The 25,272-nt window shown below is 35.7% G+C and overlaps 1 protein-coding gene across 15 annotated transcripts in view; it reads right to left on the reverse strand.

Moving 5' to 3' along the window:
* Positions 1-25,272, reverse strand: part of CEP128 (centrosomal protein 128) — a 482,534-nt gene that overhangs the window by 408,095 nt on the left and 49,167 nt on the right. For 14 of the 15 annotated variants that reach the window (NR_157142.2, XM_047431023.1, XM_011536493.3 and 11 more), the window contains 4 exons: positions 20,892-21,018; positions 19,750-19,868; positions 14,875-14,966; positions 10,655-10,727 (listed from right to left, as the gene is read on the reverse strand). Coding sequence is in view for 14 of the 15 variants with exons in the window: in XM_047431023.1 (XP_047286979.1) it covers positions 10,655-10,727; positions 14,875-14,966; positions 19,750-19,868; positions 20,892-21,018 (411 nt within the window). In the remaining variant the exon portion in view is untranslated. Of the gene's footprint in view, positions 1-10,654; positions 10,728-14,874; positions 14,967-19,749; positions 19,869-20,891; positions 21,019-22,253; positions 22,407-25,272 lie in introns of those variants that run through there. The other variant, XM_047431027.1, reaches the window with a different exon arrangement.

Raw genomic sequence — 25,272 nt, forward strand, 5'->3', positions numbered from 1 at the left:
CTGCCTCTCTAGATTCCTCCTCACTGGGCAGGACATCTCTGAAAGAAAGGCAGCAGCCCCAGTCAGCGGCTTATAGATAAAACTCCCATCTCCCTGAGACACAGCACCTGGGGAAAGGGGTGGCTGTGGGCACAGCTTCAGCAGACTTAAACGTTCCTGCCTGCTGGCTCTGAAGAGAGCAGCATATCTCCTAGAAAAGCACTCGAGCTCTGCTAAGGGACAGACTGCCTCCTCAAGTGGATGCCTGACCCCCGTGCCCTCTGACTGGGAGTCACCTCTCAGCAGGGGTCAACAGACACCTCATACAGGAGAGCTCCGGCTGGCATCAGGTGGGTATCCCTCTGGAACGAAGTTTCCAGAGGAAGAAGCAGGCAACAATATTTGCTGTTCTGCAGCCTCTGCTGGTGATACCCAGGCAAATAGGGTCTAGAGTGGACCTCCAGCAAACTCCAGCAGACCTGCAGAAGAGGGGTCTGACTGTGAGAAGGAAAACTAACAAACAGAAAGCAGTAACATCAACATAACAAAAAGGATGCCCACAGAAAAGCCCCATCCAAAGGCCATCAGCATCAAAGATCAAAGGTAGATAAATCCATGAAGATGAGGAAAAACCAGTGCAAAAATACTGAAAATTCCAAAAACCAGAATGACTCTTGTCCTCCAAATGATCGCAACTCCTCTCCAGCAACGGCACCAAATTGGACAGAGAATGTGTTTGACAAATTGACGGAAGTAGGCTTCAGAAGGTGGGTAACAACAAATTCCTCTAAGCTAAAGGAGAATGTTCTAACCCAATGCAAGGAAGCTAAGAACCTTGATAAAAGGTTATAGGAACTGCTTACTAGAATAACCAGTTTAGAGAAGAACATAAATGACCTGGTGGAGCTGAAGAACACAGCATGAGAACTTCGCGAAGCATAGACAACTATCAATAGCCAAATCAATCAAGCGGAAGAAAGGATATCAGAGATTGAAGATCAACTAAATAAAATAAAGCATGAAGACAAGATTAGAGAAAAAAGAGTGAAAAGGAACAAACAAAGCCTCCAAGGAATATGGGACTATGTGAAAAGACCAAACCTATGTTTCATTGGTGTACCTGAAAGTGATGGGGAGAATGAAACCAAGTTGGGAAACACTCTTCAGGATATTATCCAGGAGAACTTCCCCAACCTAGCAAGACAGGCCAACATTCAGATTCAGAAAATACAGAGAACACCACTAAGATACTCCTCGAGAAGAGCAACCCCAAGACACAAAATTGTCAGATTCTCCAAGGTTGAAATGAAGGAAAAAATGTTAAGAGCAGCCAGAGAGAAAGGTCAAGTTACCTGCAAAGGGAAGCCCATCAGACTACAGCAGATCTCTCAGCAGAAACCCTACAAGCCAAAAGAGAGTGGGGGCCAATATTCAACATTCTTAAAGAAAAGAATTTTCAATCCAGAATTTCATATCCAGCCAAACTAAGCTTCATAACTGAAGGAGAAATAAAATCCTTTACAAACAAGCAAATGCTGAGGGATTTTGTCACCAACAGGTCTGCCTTGCAAGAGCTCCTGAAGGAAGCACTAAATATGGAAAGGAAAAACCAGTACCAGCCACTGCAAAAACATACCAAATTGTAAAGACCATTGACAATAGGAAGAAACCGCATTAACTAACGGGCAAAATAACCAGCTAGCATCATAATGACAGGATCAAATTCACACATAACAATATTAACCTTAAATGTAAATGGGCTAAATGCCCCAATTAAAAGACACAGACTGGCAAATTGGAAAAAGAGTCAAGACCCACTGGTGTACTGTATTCAGGAGACCCATCTCACATGCAAAGACACACATAGGCTCAAAATAAAGGGATGAAGGAATATTTACTAAGCAAATGGAAAGCAAAAAATAAAGCAAGGGTTGCAATCCTAGTCTCTGATAAAACAGACTTTAAAACAAAAAGATCAAAAAAGACAAAGGGCATTACATAAAGGTAAAGGAATCAATGCAACAAGAAGAGCTAACTACCCTAAATATATATGCGCCCAATACAGGAGCATCCAGATTCATAAAGCAAGTACTTAGAGATCTACAAAGAGACTTGGATTCCCACACAATAATAGTGGGAGACTTTAACATCCCACTGTCTACATTAGACAGATCAATGAAACAGAAAATTAACAAGGATATTCAGGACTTGAACTCAGCTCTGGACCAAGTAGACCTAATAGGTATCTACAGAACTCTCCACCCTAAATCAACAGAATATACATTCTTCTTAGCACTGCATAGCACTTATTATAAAATTGACCACATCATAGGAAGTGAAACACTCCTCAGCAAATGCAAAAGAATGGAAATCATAACAAACAGTCTCTCAGACCACAGTGCAATCACATTAGAACTCAGGATTAAGAAATTCTCTCAAAACTGCACAACTACATGGAAACTGAACAATCTACCCCTGAATGACTACTAGGTAAATAACAAAATTAAGGCAGAAATCAAGAAGTTCTTTGAAACCAATGAGAACAAAGACACAACGTACCAGAATGTCTGGGATACAGCTAAAGCAGTGTTTAGAGGGAAATTTAAAGTACTAAATGCCCACATCAGAAAGTGCAAAAGACCTAAAATCGATACCCTAACATCATAATTAAAAGAACTAGAGAAGTAAGGGCAAAAGAATTCAAAAGCTAGGAGAAGACAAGAAATAACTAAGATCAGAGCAGAACTGAAGGAGATAGAGACACAAAAAAACCTTCGAAAAATCAAGGAATTCAGGAGCTGGTTTTTTGAAAAAATTAGCAAAACAGATAGACTGCTAGCCAGACTAATAAAGAAGAAAAGAGAGATGAATCAAATAGACACAATAAGAAATGATAAAAGGGGTATCACCACTGATCCCACAGAAATACACACTACCATCAGAGAATACTATAAATACCTCTATGTAAATATACCAGAAAATCTAGAAGAAATGGATAAATTCCTGGACACAAACACCCTCCCAAGACTAAACCAGGAAGAAGTTGAATCCCTGAATAGACCAATAACAAGTTTGGAAATTGAAGCAGTAATTAATAGCCTACCAACCAAAAAAAGCCCAGGACCAGACCGATTTACAGTCGAATTCTACCAGAGGTACAAAGAGGAGCTGGTATCATTCCTTCTGAAACTATTCCAAACAATAGAAAAAAGGGGGACTCCTTCCTAACTCATTTTATGAGGCCAGCATCATCCTGATACCAAAACCTGGCAGAAACACAACAAAAAAAGAAAATTTCAGGCCAATATCCCTGATGAACGTTGATGCGAAAATCCTCAGTAAAATACTGGCAAACCAAACCCAGCAGCACATCAAAATGCTTATCCACCACGATCAAGTTAGCTTCATCGCTGGAATGCAAGGCTGGTTCAACATACGCAAATCAATAAACATAATCCATCACATAAACAAAACCAATGACAAAAACCACATGATTATCTCAATAGATGCAGAAAAGGCCTTTGACAAAATTCAACAGCGCTTCATGCTAAAAACACTCAAGAAACTAGGTATTGAGGGAACATATCTCAAAATAATAAGACCTATTTTTGACAAACCCATACCCATATCATACTGAATTGGCAAAAGCTGGTAGCATTCCCTTTGAAAACCAGCACAAGACAAGGATGCCCTCTCTCTCCACTCCTATTCAACATAGTATTGGAAGTTCTGGCCAGGGCAATCAGGCAAGAGAAATAAATAAAGGGCATTCAAATAGGAAGAGAGGAAGTCAAATTGTCTCCGTTTGCAGAGGACATGATTTTATATTTAGAAAACCCCATTTTCTCAGCCCCAAAATTCCTTAAGCTGATAAGCAACTTCAGCAAAGTCTCAGGATACAAAATCAATGGGCAAAAATCACAAGCATTCCTATACACCAATAATAGACAAACAGGGAGCCAAATCATGAGTGAACTCCCATTCACATGTGCTACAAAGAAAATAAAATACCTAGGAATACAACTTATAAGGGACATGAAGAACCTCTTCAAGGAGAACTACACCCACTGCTCAAGGAAATAAGAGAGGACACAAACAAATGGATAAACATTCCATCCTCATGGACATGAAGAATCAATATCATGAAAATGGCAATACTGCCCAAAGTAATTTATAGATTCAATGCTATTCCCATCAAGCTACCATTGACTTTCTTCACAGAATTAGAAAAACTACTTTAAATTTCATATGGAACCAAAAAAGAGCCTGCATAGCCAAACAATCCTAAGCAGAAAGAACAAAGCTGGAGGCATGACTCTACCTGACTTCGAACTATACTACAAGGCTACAGTAACCAAAACAGCATGGTACTGGTACCAAAACAGATATACAGACCAATGGAACAGAACAGAGGCTGCAGGAATAACACCACACATCTACAACCATCTGATCTTTAACAAATCTGACAAAAACAAGAAATGGAGAAAGGATTTCCTATTTAATAAATGGTGCTGGGAAAACTGGCTACCATATGCAGAAAACTAAAACTGAACCCCTTCCTTACACCTTATATAAAAATTAACTCAAGATGGATTAAAGACTTAAACATAAATCCTAAAATCAAAAAACCCTGGGAGAAAACACAGCCAATACCTTTCAGGACTTAGGCATGGGTAAAGACTTCATGACTAAAACACCAAAAGCAATGGCAACAAAAGCCAAAATAGACAAATAGGATCTAATTAAACTAAAGAGCTTCTGCACAGTAAAAGAAGTTATCATCAGAGTGAACAGGCAACCTACAGAATGGGAGAAAATTTTTGCAATCTATCCATCTGACAAAGAGCTAATGTCCAGAATCTACAAGGAACTTAAACATATTTACAAGAAAAAAACAAACAACCCCACCAAAAAACTGGGCAAAGGATATGAACAGACACCTCTCAAAAGAAGGCATTTATGTGGTCAACAATCATGTGAAAAAAAGCTCACCATCACTGGTCATTAGAGAATGCAAAGCAAAACCACAGTGAGATACCATCTCACGCCAGTTAGAATGGTGATCATTAAAAGGTCAGGAAATAACAGATGCTGGCAACAATGTGGAGAAATAGGAACATTTTACACTGTTGGTGGGAGTGTAAATTAGTTCAACCTTTGTGGAAGACAGTGTGGCAATTCCTCAAGGATCTAGAACCAGAAATAACATTTGACCCAGCAACCCCATTACTGGGTGTATACCCAAAGAATTATAAATCATTCTACTATAAAGACACATGCACATGTATGTTTATTGCAGCACTATTCACAATAGCAAAGACTGGGAACCAACCCAAATGCCCATCAATGATAGACTGGATAAAGAAAATGTGGCACATATACACCATGGAATACTATCCAGTCATTTAAAAAAATGAGTTCTTGTCCTTTGCAGGGACATGGATGAAGCTGGAAACCATCATTCTCAGCAAACTAACACAGGAACAGAAAACCAAACACCATATGTTCTCACTCATAAGTAGGAGCTGAACAATGAGAACACATGGACACAGAGAGGAGAACATCACACACTGGGGCCTGTTGCAGGGTGAGGGGCAAGCAGAGGGAGAGCATTAGGACAAATACCTAATGCATGCGGGGCTTAAAACCTAGATGATGGGTTGATGGGTGCAGCAAACCACCATGGTGCATGTATACCTATGTAACAAACCTGCATGTTCTGCACATGTATCACAGATCTTAAAGTTTAATTAAAAATAAAAATAAAAACAAAATAACCATTATTCATAAGGAGCTCAAACAACTCTATAGGAAAAGATCTAATAATCTTATTTTTAAATCGGCAAAAGAAACAGGCATTTCTCAGAAGGAGACACACAAACGGCAAACAGGTATACAAAAAGGTGCTCAAGATCAATGAGCATCAGAGAAATGCAAATCAAAACTACAATGAGACATCACCTCACCCCAGTTAAAATAGCTTTTATCCAAAAGACAGGCAATAAGTAACAAATGTTGGCAAGGGTGTGGAAAAAAGAGAACTCTCCCACACTGTTGATGGGAATGTAAATTAGTGTAAGCACTATTTTGAGAACAGTATGGAGGATCCTCAAAAAACTAAAAACAGAGCTACCACATGATCCAGCAATCCCACTGCTAGGTATATACCCAAAACAAAGGAAGTCAGCATATTAAAAATATATCTGCACCCCCACATTTATTGCAGCACTATCCACAATAGCCAAGATTTGGAAACAATCTAAGTGTCCATTGACAGAAGAATAAATAAAGAAAATGTGGTGTTTATACACAATGGAGTACTATTCAGCCAAAAAAAAGATGAGGTCCTGTGATTTGCAAAAACATGAATAGAACTTGAGGCCATTATGTTAAGTGAAATAAGCCAGGCACAGAAAGAAAAACAATACATGTAGGAGCTAAAAATTAAGACAGTCAAATTCACAGAGAGTACAAGGATTGATTACCAAAGGCTGAGAAGGATAGTTGGAAGGGTGAGGAGGAGATGGAATGGTTACTAGGTGCAAAAAAAAAAAAAAAAATAGCTGGAAAGAATAAATAAAACCAAGTATTTGACAGCACTACCATAGTCAATATGAATTTAATTGTACATTTTAAAATAACTAAAAGAGTATAATTGAATTGTTTGTAACAAAGAATAAATGCTTGAGGTGATAGATACTCCCATTTACCCTGATGTGATTATTATATATTGCATGCCTGAATAAAAATATTTCACGAAATATGTATATTTCATGTTTTAAAAATTAAAAAACAGCTGAAGAATAAATTTAACAAAGGTGAAAATCCTGTACACAGAAAACTATAAGACACTGATGAAAGAAATTGAAGACAAAATAATGAAAAAATAAATGAAAAGATATTCCATCCTCATGAATCAGAAGAATTAATATTCTTAAATTATCCATACTACCCAAAGCAAAATATAGGTTTGACATAATCCATATCAAAATCCTAATGGCATTCCTCACAGGAAAAAAAAAAAATCCTAAAATTTGTATGGAAACATAAAGACCCTAAAACAATTCCAAGAATGAAAAACAAAGTTGGAGGAATTATACTTCCTGATTTAAAATTATATAACAAAGCTATAGTAATCAAAACAGTGTGGTACTGGCATAAAAACAGACACATACACCAATAGAACAGAACAGAAAACCTAGAAACAAACCCAAACAGATATGGTCAACTAATTTTTGACAGGGGCACCAATAGGATACAATGAGGAAAGAAGAGTCTCTTCAATAAATGGTGCTAAGAAAACTGGAATTTCACACACAAAAGAATCTGAACCTTATACCATACATAAAGATAAGTTCAAAATGGATAAAAGACCTAAATGTAAGACCAGGAACTATAAAATTCCTATAAGAGAACATAGTGGAAAATCTCCTGGACACTGACGTTGGCAATGATTTTTGCGTATCAAACCAAAAGCTCAGGCCACAAAAGCAAAAATAAATAAATGGCACTACTTCAAACTAAAAAGGCTCTATACAGCAAAAGATATAATCAACAAAATGAAATAGCAGCCTACAAATTGAGAAAAATATTGGCAAACAATATATCTGATGAGGTTAATACCCAAAATTTACAAAGAACTCATACAACTCAATAGTAGAAAAACAAATAATCCAATTTTTTTAAACAGGCAAAGAATCTAAATAGACATTTCTCCATAGAAGACAAAAATCACCAACAGCTATATCAAAAGGTATTTAACATAATTAATCATCAGGGAAATGCAAATCAAAACCACTATGAGATACCACATCACAGCTGCAAAGGTGGCTATTATTTTAAAAAGTCAAAAAATAACAAATGTTGACAAGAGTATACAGAAAGAGTAATTAAAAATAGAACTACCATATGACCCAGTGATCCCTCTGCTGAGCATATACCCAAAGGAAATAAAATCATCACCTTGTAAAGATTCTGCATTCCTATGTTCATTGCATCATTACTCACAATAGCCAAGATATGGAAACAACCTAAGTGTCTGTTGATAGACAAATGAATAAAGAAACTGTGGTACATATATACAATGAAATATTACTCAGCCTTAAAAAAGAATGAGATCTTTTCATTTACCACAACATGGCTAGGTCTGGAGGACATTATGCTAAGTGAAATAAGCCAGACACAGAAAGAAAAATATTGCATGATCTCACTAATTAAATATGGAATCTACAAAAAGAAATCAAATATACAGAGAGAGAGAACAAAACAGTGGTTACCAGGGACAGAGAGGGTAGAGGGGATGAAATGGGAAGATGCAGGTCAGAGGATACAAAGTAGCTGATATGTAGGATGAACAAGTCTAGAGATCTAAAGTATAACATGAGAACTACAGATAATAAAACTGTACTATATATGGGATTCATGCTAAGTAAGTACATTTTAGCTGTTCTTGCCACAAACCAAAACAAAAAAAAAAAATGGGTAACTGTGAAATGACAGATATGTTAATTTACTTCAATGTAATAATCTTTATACTATCTACATATATCCCATAACATCATGTTGCATAGCTTAAATGCACAAAATAAAATTTACAAAACAAAAAAAGTATAGTTACATTTAAACTTGAGTTTTAGGGGCAAGGAAAGGGCAAATCAGGGCAGGGTGGGTAAGAAATTTTGGGGGTGATGGATGTGTCCTTATCTTGGAGTTACTCTATCCCTATCACAACTAAATATAAAGCAACAGTAATCAAGACAGTGGAATACTGGCATTTGGATAGACAAATAAACTAGGGGATTAAAGAGTCCAGAAACAGATGTTTGTGTATATGAACATTTGATTTATGACAAAGATACGACTGTAAAGTAGTGGGGAAAGAGTAGTCCTTTTAATAAATGGAAGTTAATCAATTAAACATTCACATGAAATGTATTCCTCCTAATTCATACCACAAATACCAATTTCAAGTAAATATCACATCTAAATGTGAAAGGTAGAACCATAAGCTTCTAAATGATTACATAAGAGAACATCTTCGTGATCTAAGTATAGGGAATGACTTCTTAGGTCAAAAAAGTACTAATCACAAAAGAAAAGATGGAAAATTAAACTGGATTAAAATTCAATAGACGGTCCCATTAAGAACATTATAAAAATGAAAAGAAACAAGAAAAAAAGAAGACAGAACTTCAGCAGTTTCCTTTGTCAAGTAACAGGTTCCACTCTAGAATTTATGAGAAGAGACAGCATATTACTTAGTAAGTTAAAGAGGACCTTAGAGCAACATTCTTAAATGTGTACTTCAGCTCCTGTTTAGTATGTAAATCAGGCAATAGCACAGATTTCGTACTGTGTGAACTACTGCAATTAACTAAGAAAAGCACCAATCTGTTAATCTCAGAAAAGTCCTTTTTTTGAAGTATGTGATGTTTTAGATATTTTAGACTGGTACAATGTAAATTGAAGGTGCCCTTGGTACATCCGAAAAAATCTAGAACTTTATGCAAAAAAAAAATATATCTTGATATTCCACATTAGATACCACATTGCCACACATTAATTGGAAAGACGTTGTCTACTTCAGCAGAAGACAGGCATTGTATCTTCACCTTTCCAAGGCTCTTCACAAAAAACTTAATACCAAAAACACAAAAGAAAAGTATTTTTATGTAGCCAAGTGTTTATTCATATTTTTAAAATAAGCAAATTTCACTACAAGAGAAATTTTCAAATACCCTATTTTCAAAAAGATCAACTTAGTTGATCTTTTTATCTCCTAGCACATTCAGCCAATAAATTCAAACTCCAAAATGAACTCAACATATCTATGTAAGGAACTGTAAACAAATTAACAACTGGAGAAAAATTATCTACTTTTACTAGGAAACTTTCAATTTGAATAAAATATATTAAGAGAAAATCTTGCTAACTTTCCTTGAAAAAAAGGTATTATGAGAAATAAATAAATGAATAAATACACTCCTGAAGTTGACAAATTTGCAACAGTTTAGTGACCATTAACGGTTTCCTCCTAAAAAGAAAAACAATAAAAAGAAATGAACACTATATAGACTGTATTTTTTTACCTTAATTCCACCAAGGATAGTGATTTAATAAAAATAAATCACTGAACAGTGAGTGTCAACAATATGACTTTGAGATAATAAAGATTGGGAATTAGGAGTATTTTCAAGTGGAACCATATCAGACAAAAACAGACAGCAAAGAGGTCTTTGTAGCAATTGTAATTACACACATGTGAGATGACCTGAAAATGGGGAGTGCTACAAAACCACTGTGAAAGAATTCTTTACTTCTCAAATATCATTTCATAAAAACTACAGAAAAATCAGAGCCAGTAAAACTTAAATTATCTTTCAAATAGTCATCATAAACTCTAACCTAGTTAAAACAAATGTTGACTGTAATATGCTAATACTGTAATATAAATCCCTAAATATAAATACCAAATAAATATACCTAAATATAAATATACCAAATATAAGTACCCAAAATTCATGAACATTTTATAAGAGCTACAAGAACACACTTTTAGACAAAATGGGACATACCACCCAAAAGGTTAAACTCTACTAAACTTCACTGTGATTATGACCAGCCTACCCATCCTCTACATGTGAAATAAAACTTTTTATTAAAAAAGAGATCTCACCACTTCTTGTTTCTGGGCTTCATTAAGTTTTTCAGTCAATTCTTCCAAAGCCCTTTTTGTTTCGGCATCTGACCTAGGAAGAAAAAAAAAAAAAAGATTTAAATTTGGATATTTAGAAAATACACAGAACGAGTGAAATGTATAACATGATAATTATGTTATTACAAAATATTCTACTTTAGTGATTCTCAAATGTTATAAACATCTGAAACACGTGGAAGGCTTGTTAAAACACAGACTGCTGGATCCCGCCCCCCAGATTTCAAATCAGCAAATCTGAGATGAGGCCCAAGAATGTGCCTTTCTAAAATTCCTAAGTGATGCAGAAACAGAGGTCTGCAGGTCTGGAGACCAAACTTTGAGAACCGCTGCTACGCTGGAACATCACTCTCAATAAACACACAGGTTGCAATATCTCCCATTTTAAATTAAGAAAAAAGAGAGAAAGGGACAAAAGAAAACAAAAACTCTTGATCTTACACCCTCTTTCTAGCAATTTATAAAGAAAAGTGTGCTGTACAAACTCTATCCTCACTAACCGACCTCCCATTACCTTGTTTCTCCTCAAATTAATAACATACATGATAAACAAACAAATCGTACAGAAAGATTTACAATGAAAAGAAAAAGCCCTTCTGTCTAGCACTGTCTTACTTCTGGCTGCACTTCCCTCTGTGAATCATGCACAACCATTTCCATTATTAATTATTTTGCTGGTTGCCTTCATCATGTTCAACTCGAGACATTTTCGATGGACTGTTTTGAAATATTTAGCTCATTCTCTAATTTCAGATTATGTTATTACCATTTTTAGTTCTATTGGTTACCTGTAGAGTTTTATGTAATATATTTATACATCTTATGAATTTTATGAATTATTCCATCCTATGAAATTGATGGAATTGATGCTTTGTGCTCACATTCTGTTAGGCTCACATTTTAGCCAGCTTCACACTTGGATCATAACTTTCCCGTGTTCTTGTTTTTTCCAAGCTTTCTCATTATCTTTTGGCTTTATATGGGCCTTACTTATCACATCATTGATATTTTCCTCCCACTTCTTACTGAATGGTCAACAAACCATCTATTTCACTCTTTTTGAAGACCTTCTTCTCAAAGGACACTTACTTTCCTGCTCTAATTTAGAGTGAATACTTCCTGGGCCTGCTCCATGATTGTCATTCCAGGGTTACTTTCACTGAATCCCCAGGTTAATTTTACTGTTTCTTAATATCTTTATCTTTCTATTTCTTGGTTACAATCTTATTTAACTTATATATCCTTAGGTAATTTCCTCAAAAAGAAGTTACCTTAAAAAGATAAATTTTCAAAGACTTTAAACCTCTGAAAATGTCTCTCTGTATGTATGTATAGAATGTTAAAATACATTGCTGTATATCCACACAGTGGAATAACAAAGAATAATAAAAATGAGCAAACTGCAAGAACCTGACACAACACCCATAAATATTAGAGCCCCTTTCTTGGCTTTTGTGGTTCTATGCTATCTAGAATTTCCCCCATCTCACTAGCTATTCCATCTCAGCTCAGCTCCTTCTATCATAAGATTCCTAAATATTATAACTCCTTGCAACTCAGTTCTGTCCTTGATATCCTCCCTATAGTTTCTCTCTTGGTATTACCCATTCCCATGGTTCCAAATGACACTTCTCCATGCTGACCACTCTTAAATTTTACCTCAACAGAGACTTTTCCTTTGAGCTCCATAGTAAATATCCAGCTGAATATTTTACTTTCCATTTGAACGTCTCACAGGCATCTTAAACATATCCAAGGCCAAACTCTCTACACCTCACCTACCCAAACCAGTCTTCCATATCTCAGGAAGTGGAATTACCATCTACCTAGTTATTCAAATTGAAAATCTTAGAGTCATCCTTATTCTCCCTCACCCACCATTACCAAATCCTGTCTCTTTGATTTCCAAAAACAGTATCTTCAAACAAACCCCTGTCCATCTCTCTCCTGCTATAATCCTGGGTCAGGCCATCATCAACTCTCATATACTAGTGCAACAGACTTCTATCTCGCCCTCCTCAAATCAATTTTTTTTTCCTTTGTGACAGGTTTCACTCTGATACCCAGGCAGGAGTGCAGTGGCTCATCTCAGCTCAATGCAGCTTCAACCTCCTGGGCTCAAGCAATCCTCCCACCTTAGCCTCCCAAGTAGCTGGGACCACAGGCATGTGCCACCACTCCAGGTTAATTGTTTTGTATTTTTAGTAGAGATGGGGTTTCACCATGTTGCCCTGACTGGTCTCAAACTCCTGAGCTCAAATGATTCACCTGCCTCGGCCTCCCAAAATGTTGGGATTATGGGCCTGAGCCACTGTGCCCGGTCCAAATCAATTCTTCATATGGCATCCAAAGTAGGTGATTTCTGAATTAAACTTTACTTAATCCTTTCTAAAAGTTTGCTTCCCAGTGTACTTTTATTATTCAATGTATGTTTTGTAATAAATGTCAAAAGTGAAAAATCAGTAATTAAATGAGAATACCAACCTTTCAACATCAAATAGAAAGTTAAACTTTTTAACTTCCTGTCCATTATTTTTATAAACATGAAGTAAGAATCTGTAGTACAAGTAAAGCAGAACGGCATCCAGAAATTTTACACATTCACAAAGGTAAGCCACCTCATTTCCCAAGAAACCTAACTCCTATTTTGGGTAAAACAAAGTTTTCTGCCTCAAACATGCCTCTAGGTCACAAAGACTATTACCAGATCTTACAAGCCTAGAGATCACAAAAACTATTACCAGATACTAACAGCCCAGTCCAATATTGGTTACTCAAATCACCATTTAAACTAATCAACTAAATCATCCCTGCAACTTCCCCTGAATCTTCTTACAAGACAACTATTCCCTATAACTCATGTTCCCAGTGCTTAATGTATACCCTTCCTTGAAATGGATAATGGTCATGTAATAAAGCCATTCCTACAATACATTAAAGTGTTAATGTCATTTTGTTAATTTTATCAGCTTGTAAAAAAAAATAATAACCTAAATATTAAATTAACTAAGTCTTACCAGTTTAAAAGGTTAGCAATATAGCTCAATAATATATCTCACAATCCAGGAATTCAAATGCTTTATTCATATCAGCCACATGTGAAAATGATTTTGAACCACCATATACCGTAAGTGATAAAGAACAGAGGCTTTGGGGCCTTACTGCCTAGATTTTAATTCTGACTCCACTACAACCCTCCTGTTTGATTTCTAGAGAGCTGAGTTATTTCATCTCTCTGTGCCCATTTCCTCATCCATAAAATAGAGAAAAAAATAATGATTACCTCAAAGGGTAGTTACTAGAATTAAAGTTAAATCACGAAATAAGGGCTCAATAATATTAGCTAATAGAACTAGTAATAATGGTAGAATTTTTCATTCTCATTACAGCCTATACTTGATATTCATAGATTTAACATTTATAGTTTTGACTATCTTTGTTGCAGCAACACAGAACTGGTGTGTGGGATGATTTAGACAGCTGGAGTTAGCAAGCAAATATGGTAAACAAATTTCAATTCAGCTTTATTGTTCCTAATATTTGCTGTATATGGATTGTAATTCTTAAGAAGGCATAAAAATCTTTGTTTTTCAGCAAAACATGGCCTCCAAAAGAAAGCCACCTGCCACTGGTGATGACAAAAATGAAAAGACAGCAAAGAAGTTTTAAATTAAATAACAGCTATTGGGGACTATCCAGAATTGACAAAATTGTGAAGATGGGGCAGATGTTAACCACTGACCCTCAAAGATTTCAACTAAAAGCTAAAGTATTGGATTCTACAATGGCTTATGTCCACTGACAAACTCCATGTTACACTTCTTTTTTGGTGTGTGCAATGCCAAAAGTCAGTCAGGTAGCGAGTCGGTCTTTGTGTCTCTCTCTCCAATGTATTTGCAAATCTACCTCTTTGCAAAAGTCTCACAGTGTACCCCTCCATAATATCAGCATTCCATTGTATTAAGTTAAAGCGTTTTTAGAAAAAGGAAATTAATTTGTCTAACACTGAGTCATGATATATTCTAAATTCAAAGGGCTGTAAACTGTTCTGTTAATAAATTTTAAGGTACTGTATACAAACACAACATTTTTTAAAAATCTAGATAAATATGTCAATTACAGAAGCTAATTTATTCTCCTCATAATTTATCCCTCCCATAAAAACCATAGGCTGCTTTTACCGGCTCCTTCTGGAAAGCTCCCTGTTGAAATCATCTCCAAGGCGAATTTGTTCACTGCTGAGGTCTCGAAGAGACTGATGAAAACCATGAAGCTAGCAAAGGCAAAACACAGTTATCCATTTAGAATTCTGTTGAATTCTTCCATGAAGATTCACCAAAGGTAAGAATAAGATCTTGTTCCTTGCAATAATAACCAGATTCCGTAATATTATTATGAAAGAAAACACCTACTCTGAAAGAAAAAAATTTTCCAAGAAAAACAAATTTTTAAAAGCTGTATATAACATTTATCAACACATTTTCTACAGTACAATTCTACTCCTCCAGAATTCTACCCCTCTAGAAGGGGTCTGCTTCTTCCTTAATCAGAGCAAAAGAAAAAGAAAAAAGAGAGAGCGAGAAAGAAGGAGAAAACCGGTCTGCCAATTTTTCTGTAAAGGGCCCAATAGCGACTATTCCAGGATTACAAGCTATATGGTCTCTGTCACAGTTAATCTTGCCACTGTAGTGCAAAAGTAACTGTAAACAAATAAGCATGGCTGAATTACAATAAAATTTTATTCTATCAGCCTATAATGCCTTAGTTTGCCAACTCCTGCTGTACAGAAACTCTTCCTCATGTACACTTGGAACCATGTACAAGAAAGTATGGTACAGCATTATTCACAATGAGAACATGAGAAACCAAATGTACACCAAGATAAATAAATGGTGGTATATTCCTCCACCGGAGTATGATATAGCAGTGAAAACAAAACAATCATAGATACCTACGCATTAGTAAAGCTGAATGTCAAAAACATAACATCAAGTAAAATAAGCAAGTTACAAAAGATTACAGTAGTATCCCATAAATAAGATGTAGGTAGTAAAAATTAAAAAAGTAAAAAAATTGTTTTTTAAAGCAGAAACAGTGTCAGGATATGTATGAAGTCAGGACAGTGGATACCCCTTGGGAAAAGATGGAGTATAAAAGAGGCTTGGGGTGGCCGGGCGCGGTGGCTCACGCCTGTAATCCCAGCACTTTGGGAGGCCGAGGCGGGCGGATCACGAGGTCAGGAGATCGAGACCATCCTGGCTAACACGGTGAAACCCCGTCTCTACTAAAAATACAAAAAATTAGCCGGGCGTGGTAGCGGGCGCCTGTAGTCCCAGCTACTCGGGAGGCTGAGGCAGGAGAATGGCGTGAACCCGGGAGGCGGAGCTTGCAGTGAGCCGAGATCGCGCCACTGCACTCCAGCCTGGGCGACAGAGCGAGACTCCGTCTCAAAAAAAAAAATAAATAAAAGAGGCTTGGGGGTATGATAATGCTTTATTTAGTGGCCTGGGTGAGGGTTACATGGTGTTCATTCTCATTATTGTAACTTTAACTGTAAATATATATGCTGAATATAAATAGTATGATTTATAATAAAACTACGTTAAACAGACTTGCAGAAACAACAAATTGATTCATTTCAACAAAATGCACATTAAGCAATTTATTAGTGCCAGCTACTGAGAAGTGGCTCAAAATCTGATATGAGAGCCAGATATGTAAACAAACCACAAATTTTTTACGGGGGCATTAAGAAAGTACACAGTCAAGTGGAGCTAAGGGTAACCTTGAGAATGAACTTAATGAGGAAGAACCATAAAAAGAAAGGAGTGAAGTAGTATAGTGAATGAAAAACTTAAGTTTTGCCATCATGATTTTCCAATTTAGCAAACCAGAATCCGGGGATGCATCCTTGACACCTCCTTTTCACTCATTCCTACCTTCCCCACATGGCTATCTAATTTTCAAGACCTTTCCATTTTATCCACTAAAATGCTTTTAATTCTACCTCCTTCTCTCCAGCTCCACCTATCCTAATCCAAGTGACCATCAATTCACATCCAGAACACAGTAACATCCTTCTAATTGGTTCACCCACATTGAATCCATTTTCCACACTACAGCCAGAGTGATCTTTTCAAAATAATTTTGTCAGCCCTGTTACACGGCTCTACATAATCTCAGCCCTTCATACTTCTTTAGCCTCGTGGGCCTTCTTTAAATTGCTCATAGGGGCTATCTTCCCTCCTGCCAAGCCATTTGTTCTACCTAGAATGACTCTTACTCAACTTTCAGATCTCAGCTCAGTCAGCCTTTCTTCAGGAAGCCCTCCTTAACTGGGGCATGTCCTCTACCATACAATTCTGTAGCCCTATGCATCTTTCCACTATCGCATGCATCTCAGTTCATAAATAAGGTTGTATTTATGTATTTATTTAATATCTAGCTCCTCCTCTAGAATATAAACTTATTAAAAGACAAGGTTTCTGCTCATCACTGTTTCCAAGTGTAAGCATTATCCCAATGACAGAGACATTAAATAAACAGAAGGAAAGAGTAAATGAATAATGTTAAGATATTGTTCTCTGTTCTGGGCTTCATCACATAGTCCATGCTAGCAAGGTGCAACTATCAAAAAAATAACATAGTCAAGGAAAAGTTTCCACAGGGTGTTTCCTAATGCATTTGATTGTGTTGTCTCGTTATGCAGTAACAAGTGACAGCTACAGATGAGTATCTTAAGATACACTTTGAGTACCTAATCCTAAAACTACCAAAACAAAGAGGTCAAAGTGCAGAACTCCCCCAGCCCTTTTCTATTTAATTTAGCTACTTAAGACAACAAAAGGAAAAATTACAGCTCTGCAGAGAACTTTAAAGAAGCAGAAAAAGATTTCCACACAACTAATACTTCAGAAATCTTTAGTGAATAAAGTATGGAATTTCTTACTTAGTAGAAAATGGCTCTATCAATGATTCAACAATCAGAAAAAAACACTAATGGTAGAAAAATCAGTAGATCAATCACACAAAGATTAACTTGTTCATACTAAACCAAACTTAGTAAAATAGAAAGTAGCAGACTTAGCAGGGCTTACAAAAAATGTGCTGAACAAGAAAGGAAACAAAACACGTCCAATTAAACTCACTTTTAAATGTTCTGCAATATATAATCCTCCATAACAAAACTCAAAACAAAGATACTTTGTACATTGAAAATAAACTAGTTTATCTGAAAAATCCCATATTAACAATCTTACATTCATATAGAATGACAAAAGACCCCATATAGCCAAAACAATCCTGAGCTAAAAAGAACAAAGCTGGAGGCAGCATACTCCCTAATTTCAAAACATTATAAAGCAATTGTAATCAAAACAGCATGGTACTAGAAAAAAACAGATGCATCAATCTACGAACAGAGGAGAAAACCCGGAAATAAACACACACATTTGCGGTCAACTGATTTTTTATGAAGATGCCAAGAACACACAATGGGGAAAGGATAGTGTCCTCAATAAATTGTGTTGACAAAACTGCATATACATGCTAAATAATGAAATTAGGCCCTTATAACACACAAAAAAGTCAACTCAAAATGGAGAAACACTTAAATATAAGACCTGAAACTGTAAAACCACTAGAAGAAAACATAGGCAAAAAGCTCCATGACTTTGGTTTAGGCAATGGTTTCTTGGATATGACCCCAAAAGCACAAGCAACAAAAGCAAAAAACAGGCAAATGAGATCACATCAAAATATAAAGCTTCTGCATAGCAAAAGAAACAATTAATAAAGTGAAGAGACAATCCACAGGATGGGAGAAATATCTGCAAACCATATGTCTGACAAGGCGTTAATATCCAAAATATATAAAGAACTCAAACAACTCAATAGCGAAAAAAAAAAAAATTTAAAATGGGCAGAGGACCTGAACAGACATTTCTCAAAAGAAGACATACAATGGTCAATAGGTACATTTTTAAAAATATTCAGCAAAAGTAAACTTTAGGAAAATCCAAGTTAAAACCACAGTGAGATATCACCTCACACCTGTTAAAATGGCTTTTATCAAAAAGATGAAAGATAAGTGTTGGACATGACATGAAGGAAAGGGACCCCTTGTACCCTACTGGGAACGTAAACTAGTACAGCCATTATGGAAAACTGTATGGAGGGTCTTCAAAAACTAAAAATAAGACTACTATATGACCCATTAATCCCATTTCTGGATATATACCCAAAGCTACTGAAATCAGTATGTCAAAGGGATATCTGCACTCTCATGTTCATTGCAGCATTATTCACAACAGCCAAGATCGGCAAACAACCTAAGTGTCTATCAGTGAATGAATGGATACAGAAAATGTAGTATATATACACAATGCAATACTATTCAGCCTTTAAAAAGGGAGAAATCCTGTCATTTGCAAAAACATGGATGAATCTGAAGACATTATGTTAAGTAAAAAAGGCCAGGCACAGAAAGACAAACACTATATGATCCCACTTGTGTATGAACTCTAATAAAGTTTAACTCATAGAAAGATAGAGTAGAATAATGGTTACCAGAGGGTGGCGGGGAGAGGGGGTGAAGAGGGAGAGAAAGGGGAGTTGTTGATCAAACAGTCCAAAGTTTCAGACAGACAGGAGGAATAGGTTTTGAGATGTATTGCACATCAGGATGACCAATGTCAATAATAATGTATTATATATTTCAAAATAACTGAGAGAATAAATTTCAAATGTCTCACCATAAAAAATGATAAGCAAGGTGATAGATGTTAATTAACTTGATTTGATCATGCCACATTGCATACATATATTAAAACATCATATTATACCCCATAAATGTATACAACTATGATTTTTCAGCAAGAAAACAATAATAAAAAGTAAAAGTCGTTTACTTGGTTCCAAAAAAAGGGATCAGTATAAAGTTACTAATGATCAAATTCTTGGTTAAAATATAGCCTTAAAGTTCAAGCATTAGTCATTTATATACAATAGAAGCATAAGGAAATACTGCACACAAATTACAGAATGGTACAAAGTACCTGAGTCATATCATCAGTCTCTTGAACAAACCGGACACCAGTTCTTGATCTCATTCGTTTAATACCCTGTGGATCCCCATAGTCCTTGAGAGGTGAGGTAGGTGGAAAATGATGGAGCTCTTCACAAGTGAAAGAAAAGGGAAGGTATTAAAATACTGCATGAGAAGAGACAATCTAAAATTTTACTCAGTACAAACATGGCAGACATGGATATACATATATTCATGTCCCTAACCCAGACTATTTCCCAAGTATCTTGCTATGGCCATAAAGTTCCACCAAATTAGCATTAATCATGCTCTTAAAGCAGATAAAATGAACAACAGAAATAACCTGGAAATAGAACACTCAAAAGTTTCAATTTGTTATACTCTCCAAGAAGCAACATATTTTCTCATACAAAAATAATAAATTTCTAAATAAAAAACTCATATGACCCCTTAATATAACTTAATACTAAAAAAAACAACTTTTCAAACTACATAGTCTACAATCTGAACAGCATATAAAAATAAAAACTAACTACATGAAAAAATAGTGCCCAATTTTTAATCATTGTTACCATAATCAACAGTAATATTAACGATGTAAGGTACCAATGTTCAATTATCTAAATCACCTTCCTTCACTGCAGGCTTTTCGATTCAAACATGAATCTCAGTGCTATACAAAAGTGTAAGTAAGATTAATTAAGACAAACTGTCATAAGCTTTAAGCTAGCCATTCATATCTACCTGCATGCCAAGACTAAAATTCACCTGGTCTTAACAAGCATCACAGGGTATTTCATAAAACATGTGAAAATCTATTACGCTAGGACAGGATACCTAACCTAAAGTGTATCACATAGCGAATTTATGTATTTGTTTTGATTCTTTGGCAGCAGACAATTAAATCTAAGTTTTTGTCAGGTAAAGCTCTAATGTGGTCTACAGAGTTTGAGAAAAAAAAAAAAACAATATAACAACAAAGACCCTTCAATATATTTCAAAGCATGTACTATAAAATCCTTGACAACTACATGTACTATCATCCAATCTGCATGAAGTTATGTGTGGGTCATATTTCTCCAAAAATTAAATGTATTCAATATCTACTTCAAAAATATTTTTAATGTTTTTCAGAACATTTGAAGTGTTTACCTGACCCAGTGCCACCATCAAGGTCACTTGCACTCAAACTTGTAACAGAAATACTTCTCCCTCCTGAGTTTCTCAATAAACGTTGACTCCGGAGTTGGTCGATTGATTGTTCCAAGCTTTCTTTTAACTAATTTAAAGAATATAATGAATGAAGCGTTATTCTTCTTAAACAACTTCCAAATACAAATAGACCACAGATTTTCAAAGCTATTTCTGAAATATCTGGGTTCCCCCCAAAAAAAGGTATCAGAAAATTTTAAACTAAGTTATGTTTAAAATATAAAAATAGTAAATACAAATATTTTAAGAACCAATGCTAAAATCTGGTTTTAAAAGGCATCTGTCACTACCTATTCCATTTTTTATTGCCAGATGTGGAAGAGATGTCTACTGTGTAAGGGCTTACAAAACCAAATTGAAATGTCTAATTGGTGCACCACTCATGCGAAGAAACATAACAAGGTCAACACAACTGAAAGAAGACAGAAAGCTTTCCTCCCTTCTAAATATTCCTTCAGAAACTCCAGGTCTACAACAAATAGGAAACTAAACAGCTGTCACAGTGACAGCTGCTACTGAAACAATGTACACTGTCCAACTTTATCAGAGTACCTCTTTCAGTCATTCAAAGACTTCAAATCCCAGAAAATGATTGGGTCAGATATCAGACTGCCAGTACACACTAAGAACTACAGTTGTCCAAATGCTTTATTCAGTTTATTAAGGAGTCAGCCAACAGGGAACATATAAAAACATACCTTTAGACTTAAAGAGCTACATTAAATAAAAACATGCTAAATACTGAGAATAATGTCCAGAGCTGTACACAACTATAGGCCTGAGAAGAGGATTCGACTAAGACCCAAGGGAAAAAAAATTAAAGCTGAAGAAAATCCATACACCCTGAATTGCTGGGAAACTTCGGGTCTAGATATCTTATTCAAGGATGAATAGAAAGTAATAATTTTAAACATAATGCATGGATCCATGGAACAAGTCATCTATAACTCTTTAAGTAGAATGTCAAAACAAAATGATTAGTTGAGAAGACAAGGTTTCCTAAATTCAGCCAGCGTTAAAAGGTAGAACACCATTTACGGGGAGAACAAGTTGCTTTACTTGGTGAAATGAGCAGAAAGAAAGGAGCCTCAACCGAAGGAAAAGAACAGATGAAACAGAATGTGAGTCACAAATGAAGCAAACCCTTTTTCAGTCTGGCTATTTGGATTTGGCTGCTCTAATTGAAACAATCTGTATTAAAAGAAGTAGAGTTAGAATTTCAGGAAGCTGCTTCTTTTGTCCCTCTCATTTCCGAAAGAAAAAAAAAAGAGGGGTTTCCACACCCCTCTGTCTCCTCCTTACCTAAACTGGGATATGTACAATACCATCCTGCCTTGAGTATTCGCCAGCCAGCTATAAGATGCAGCATCGGCGGTTGCTCGCGCCTGTAATCCCTGCAGTTTGGGAGGCTGAGGCGGCTGGATCACTAGGTCAGGAGTTCAAGAATGGCCTGGCAAACATGGTGAAACCTCGTCTCTCCTAAAATACAAAAAATTAGCCGGGCATGATGGCTGGTGCCTGTAATCCCAACTACTCGGGAGGCTGAGGCAGGAGAACTGCTTGAACCTGGGAGGCAGAGGTTGCAGTCAGCTGAGATCGTACCACTGCACTCCAGCCTGGGCGGCAGAGCGAGACTCTGTTTCAAAAAAAAAAAAAAAAAAAAAACCTCAGCATCAATCCACAAAACATACTATGAGGCCCAGGAAAACCAAGGTTTACCTTGAGAGTAATTTACACATAAGTAAAATAACATATAAGTAGACCAGAGGTCTTATGTAGTGATCACAAAGTAGTATATCAGTAATCTATGACAAAATTATCAGAATAAAACTAAACAATATTAAAGCTAAAAAGCTCAAATTCAAACTGTAACATGAGAAACAGACTAGAAAAGTCACTACAGTGATTTTGATCATAAAAATTAGCGTCAGAAATAAAACGTAAAATCAGCTCTCTTAACTTTTGCTGTGTTTATTATTTCCATCTTTCAAGCTAAACTCAATTTCAGTATCCTTTTGAAAGCAGAGTCAGCTATCATTTCTTACTACTGCTTCTTTTTGAAGGTAATCTGCCTTTTCAGCTCTGGCTATTTTTAAGATTTTCTCTTTACTTTTGTCAGTGATTTTATTATGTATCATTATGTACAGTTTTATTTGTATTTATCCCATTTCCGACCCACAGAGATCACAAAATCCATAGCTTAATAAATTTCATATGTTGTAAATTCTCAGGCATCATCTTTTCAAACATTGTTTTTGCCTCATTCTCTCTCCCCTCTCCTTCTGGAAATGCAACTGCATTTTAGTTATACCTTTTTACCAAATGCTGTTATGTCTTCTTTTCTCTTCTATATTTTTTCAATCTTTCATTCTTCCATTCTTTTTGGATATCTTATGCTGGTTTATCTTTCAATTCATGAATTCTCTTTCAACTATACACAAGCTGTTGTTCACTCTATTCATTCAAGGTCAGTTGGTTATTTATTTATCTTATTTTTCAGTTTCTGAAATTTTCATTTGGTGCCTTTTAGTTTTCAATTATTTTCCAAAACTCTTAATCTACTCTTTTAATTTCTTGAACATGTTATTCATGGTTACCTTATAGTCCCATATATGTTTCTATTGTCTGCTTCTTCCCTTGGTTTTCAGACACCTTTTATATTCTCTTATGCCTGTGTATTCTTTATCATGTGATAGACATTTTACATGAGAAGTTGTAGAAATAATTTAAAGTTCTAGAGGATGACATCTTTCTTCAGAAAAATCTGGTTCTGCTTCTAATAGAAAGTCAGGTTAGGGTCACTAGCAATCTCAAATCACCTTAACCCAGTTAGGAACTGAAGTGGTTCAAGGACTGGCTTCTGTCACCGTGAAGGCTGGTCTATTTTCAGTTTATCACTTCTCATTTCCAATTCACCACTTTGCCTATACTATCACCCTTTGGGGTCTCCATTAAAGCTAAAGGGTTCCTGAACTCCAGCTTTGGTCTTCCTAGCCTCTTAAGTTAATTGATAACTCTGATCCTAGCCTCTCTGCTTTTAATCCACCTCTTTAGGAATCAGCTATCATCTTGAAGGAGGAAGAAAGTCCCAAATATAAGACTTACCCTTCTGGACTTAAGTTTTTTGCCAGATTCTGACTACATAATTCCTCACTGCCTTAGTAGTTCTTTGATGGATTCATAATATTATTTTTTACTTTTTTTTCATGTTTCTAGTTGTTCTCAGTAGAAGAGTTGATCTGAAATAATCTTACCTACCAATGCCAAAAGCAGATCTTGCCAGCATCCTTTTTATGTAGGCTTATTTGCTAACAAATCCTAAGCTGTAACTAAAAGCTCAGAAATAAAGTGAATTTTCACACACACACACACACACACACACACACACACGCAAACTCCCTGCCACCAAAAGAAAAAAAGTTACCATGGGACATAACAGAAGAACATTAAAGAACAAGAGAAGTGAAACACTTCCCCAAAATCTAATCTATCAACCCCATTTTAAAACTCTAAAAAGATATATCCGAAGCCATTGAAGATGAATAGGATGATTTTTAAGGTCCAAAAAATAAAATTACGTTATGTAAAGGGAGATGAATGAAATAAAGGCGATTTTAAATTACTCTTCCAAGCATTATGGCAAAAACAATTTTTGCACCTAAAACATAAAACTAAAAATGTAATAGAATTAAAATCTACACTTTAAGTAGTCACAACACAACACAACAGACACTGCACAAAATTTAGTGATGTATGGAGCCAATTTGATAACTCCTAAAACACAAAAACCAAGAAATAAAGAGACAAAGTACGAAGTCATAAAAATTGTTTTAAACTCTTTTGGATTATAACATCTTACTAGGTGTAACGCCAAACCAAACAAAATTAAATAAAAACAAAATAATATTAATAAAACTCAATCTAACATTTTCTATGATGGATGATGTTATTTTCCTAAAACTAATCAATCTTACCAAAGACTGTGGTACTAACTACAATGTTATAAATTCTTTTGAGTCTACTAGGACTACCTCACCAGATACCAAATGATGATCCTATTTTCCCCCACTTTCCCCTATATGAAATATTGTAAAATGGACATCATAGAACATAATATAATGTATATTAATATCTCACTTGATATAAATGCATGATTTAAAGATTAGGTCTATTCTTTTACCTCTGTTCTTTTGATATTAGACTGAAACAATGGAAACTACTGTGCACCAGTATAAATGCAAATAAAATTTGGGCACTGGAATTGAATGGCTATGATCTGGATCTGGGTCCTCACCGAATTCTCATGTTCAATTATAATTCC

The sequence above is a fragment of the Homo sapiens genome, chromosome 14, assembly GCF_000001405.40.
Source record: "Homo sapiens chromosome 14, GRCh38.p14 Primary Assembly".
Taxonomy (NCBI): Eukaryota; Metazoa; Chordata; class Mammalia; order Primates; family Hominidae; genus Homo; species Homo sapiens.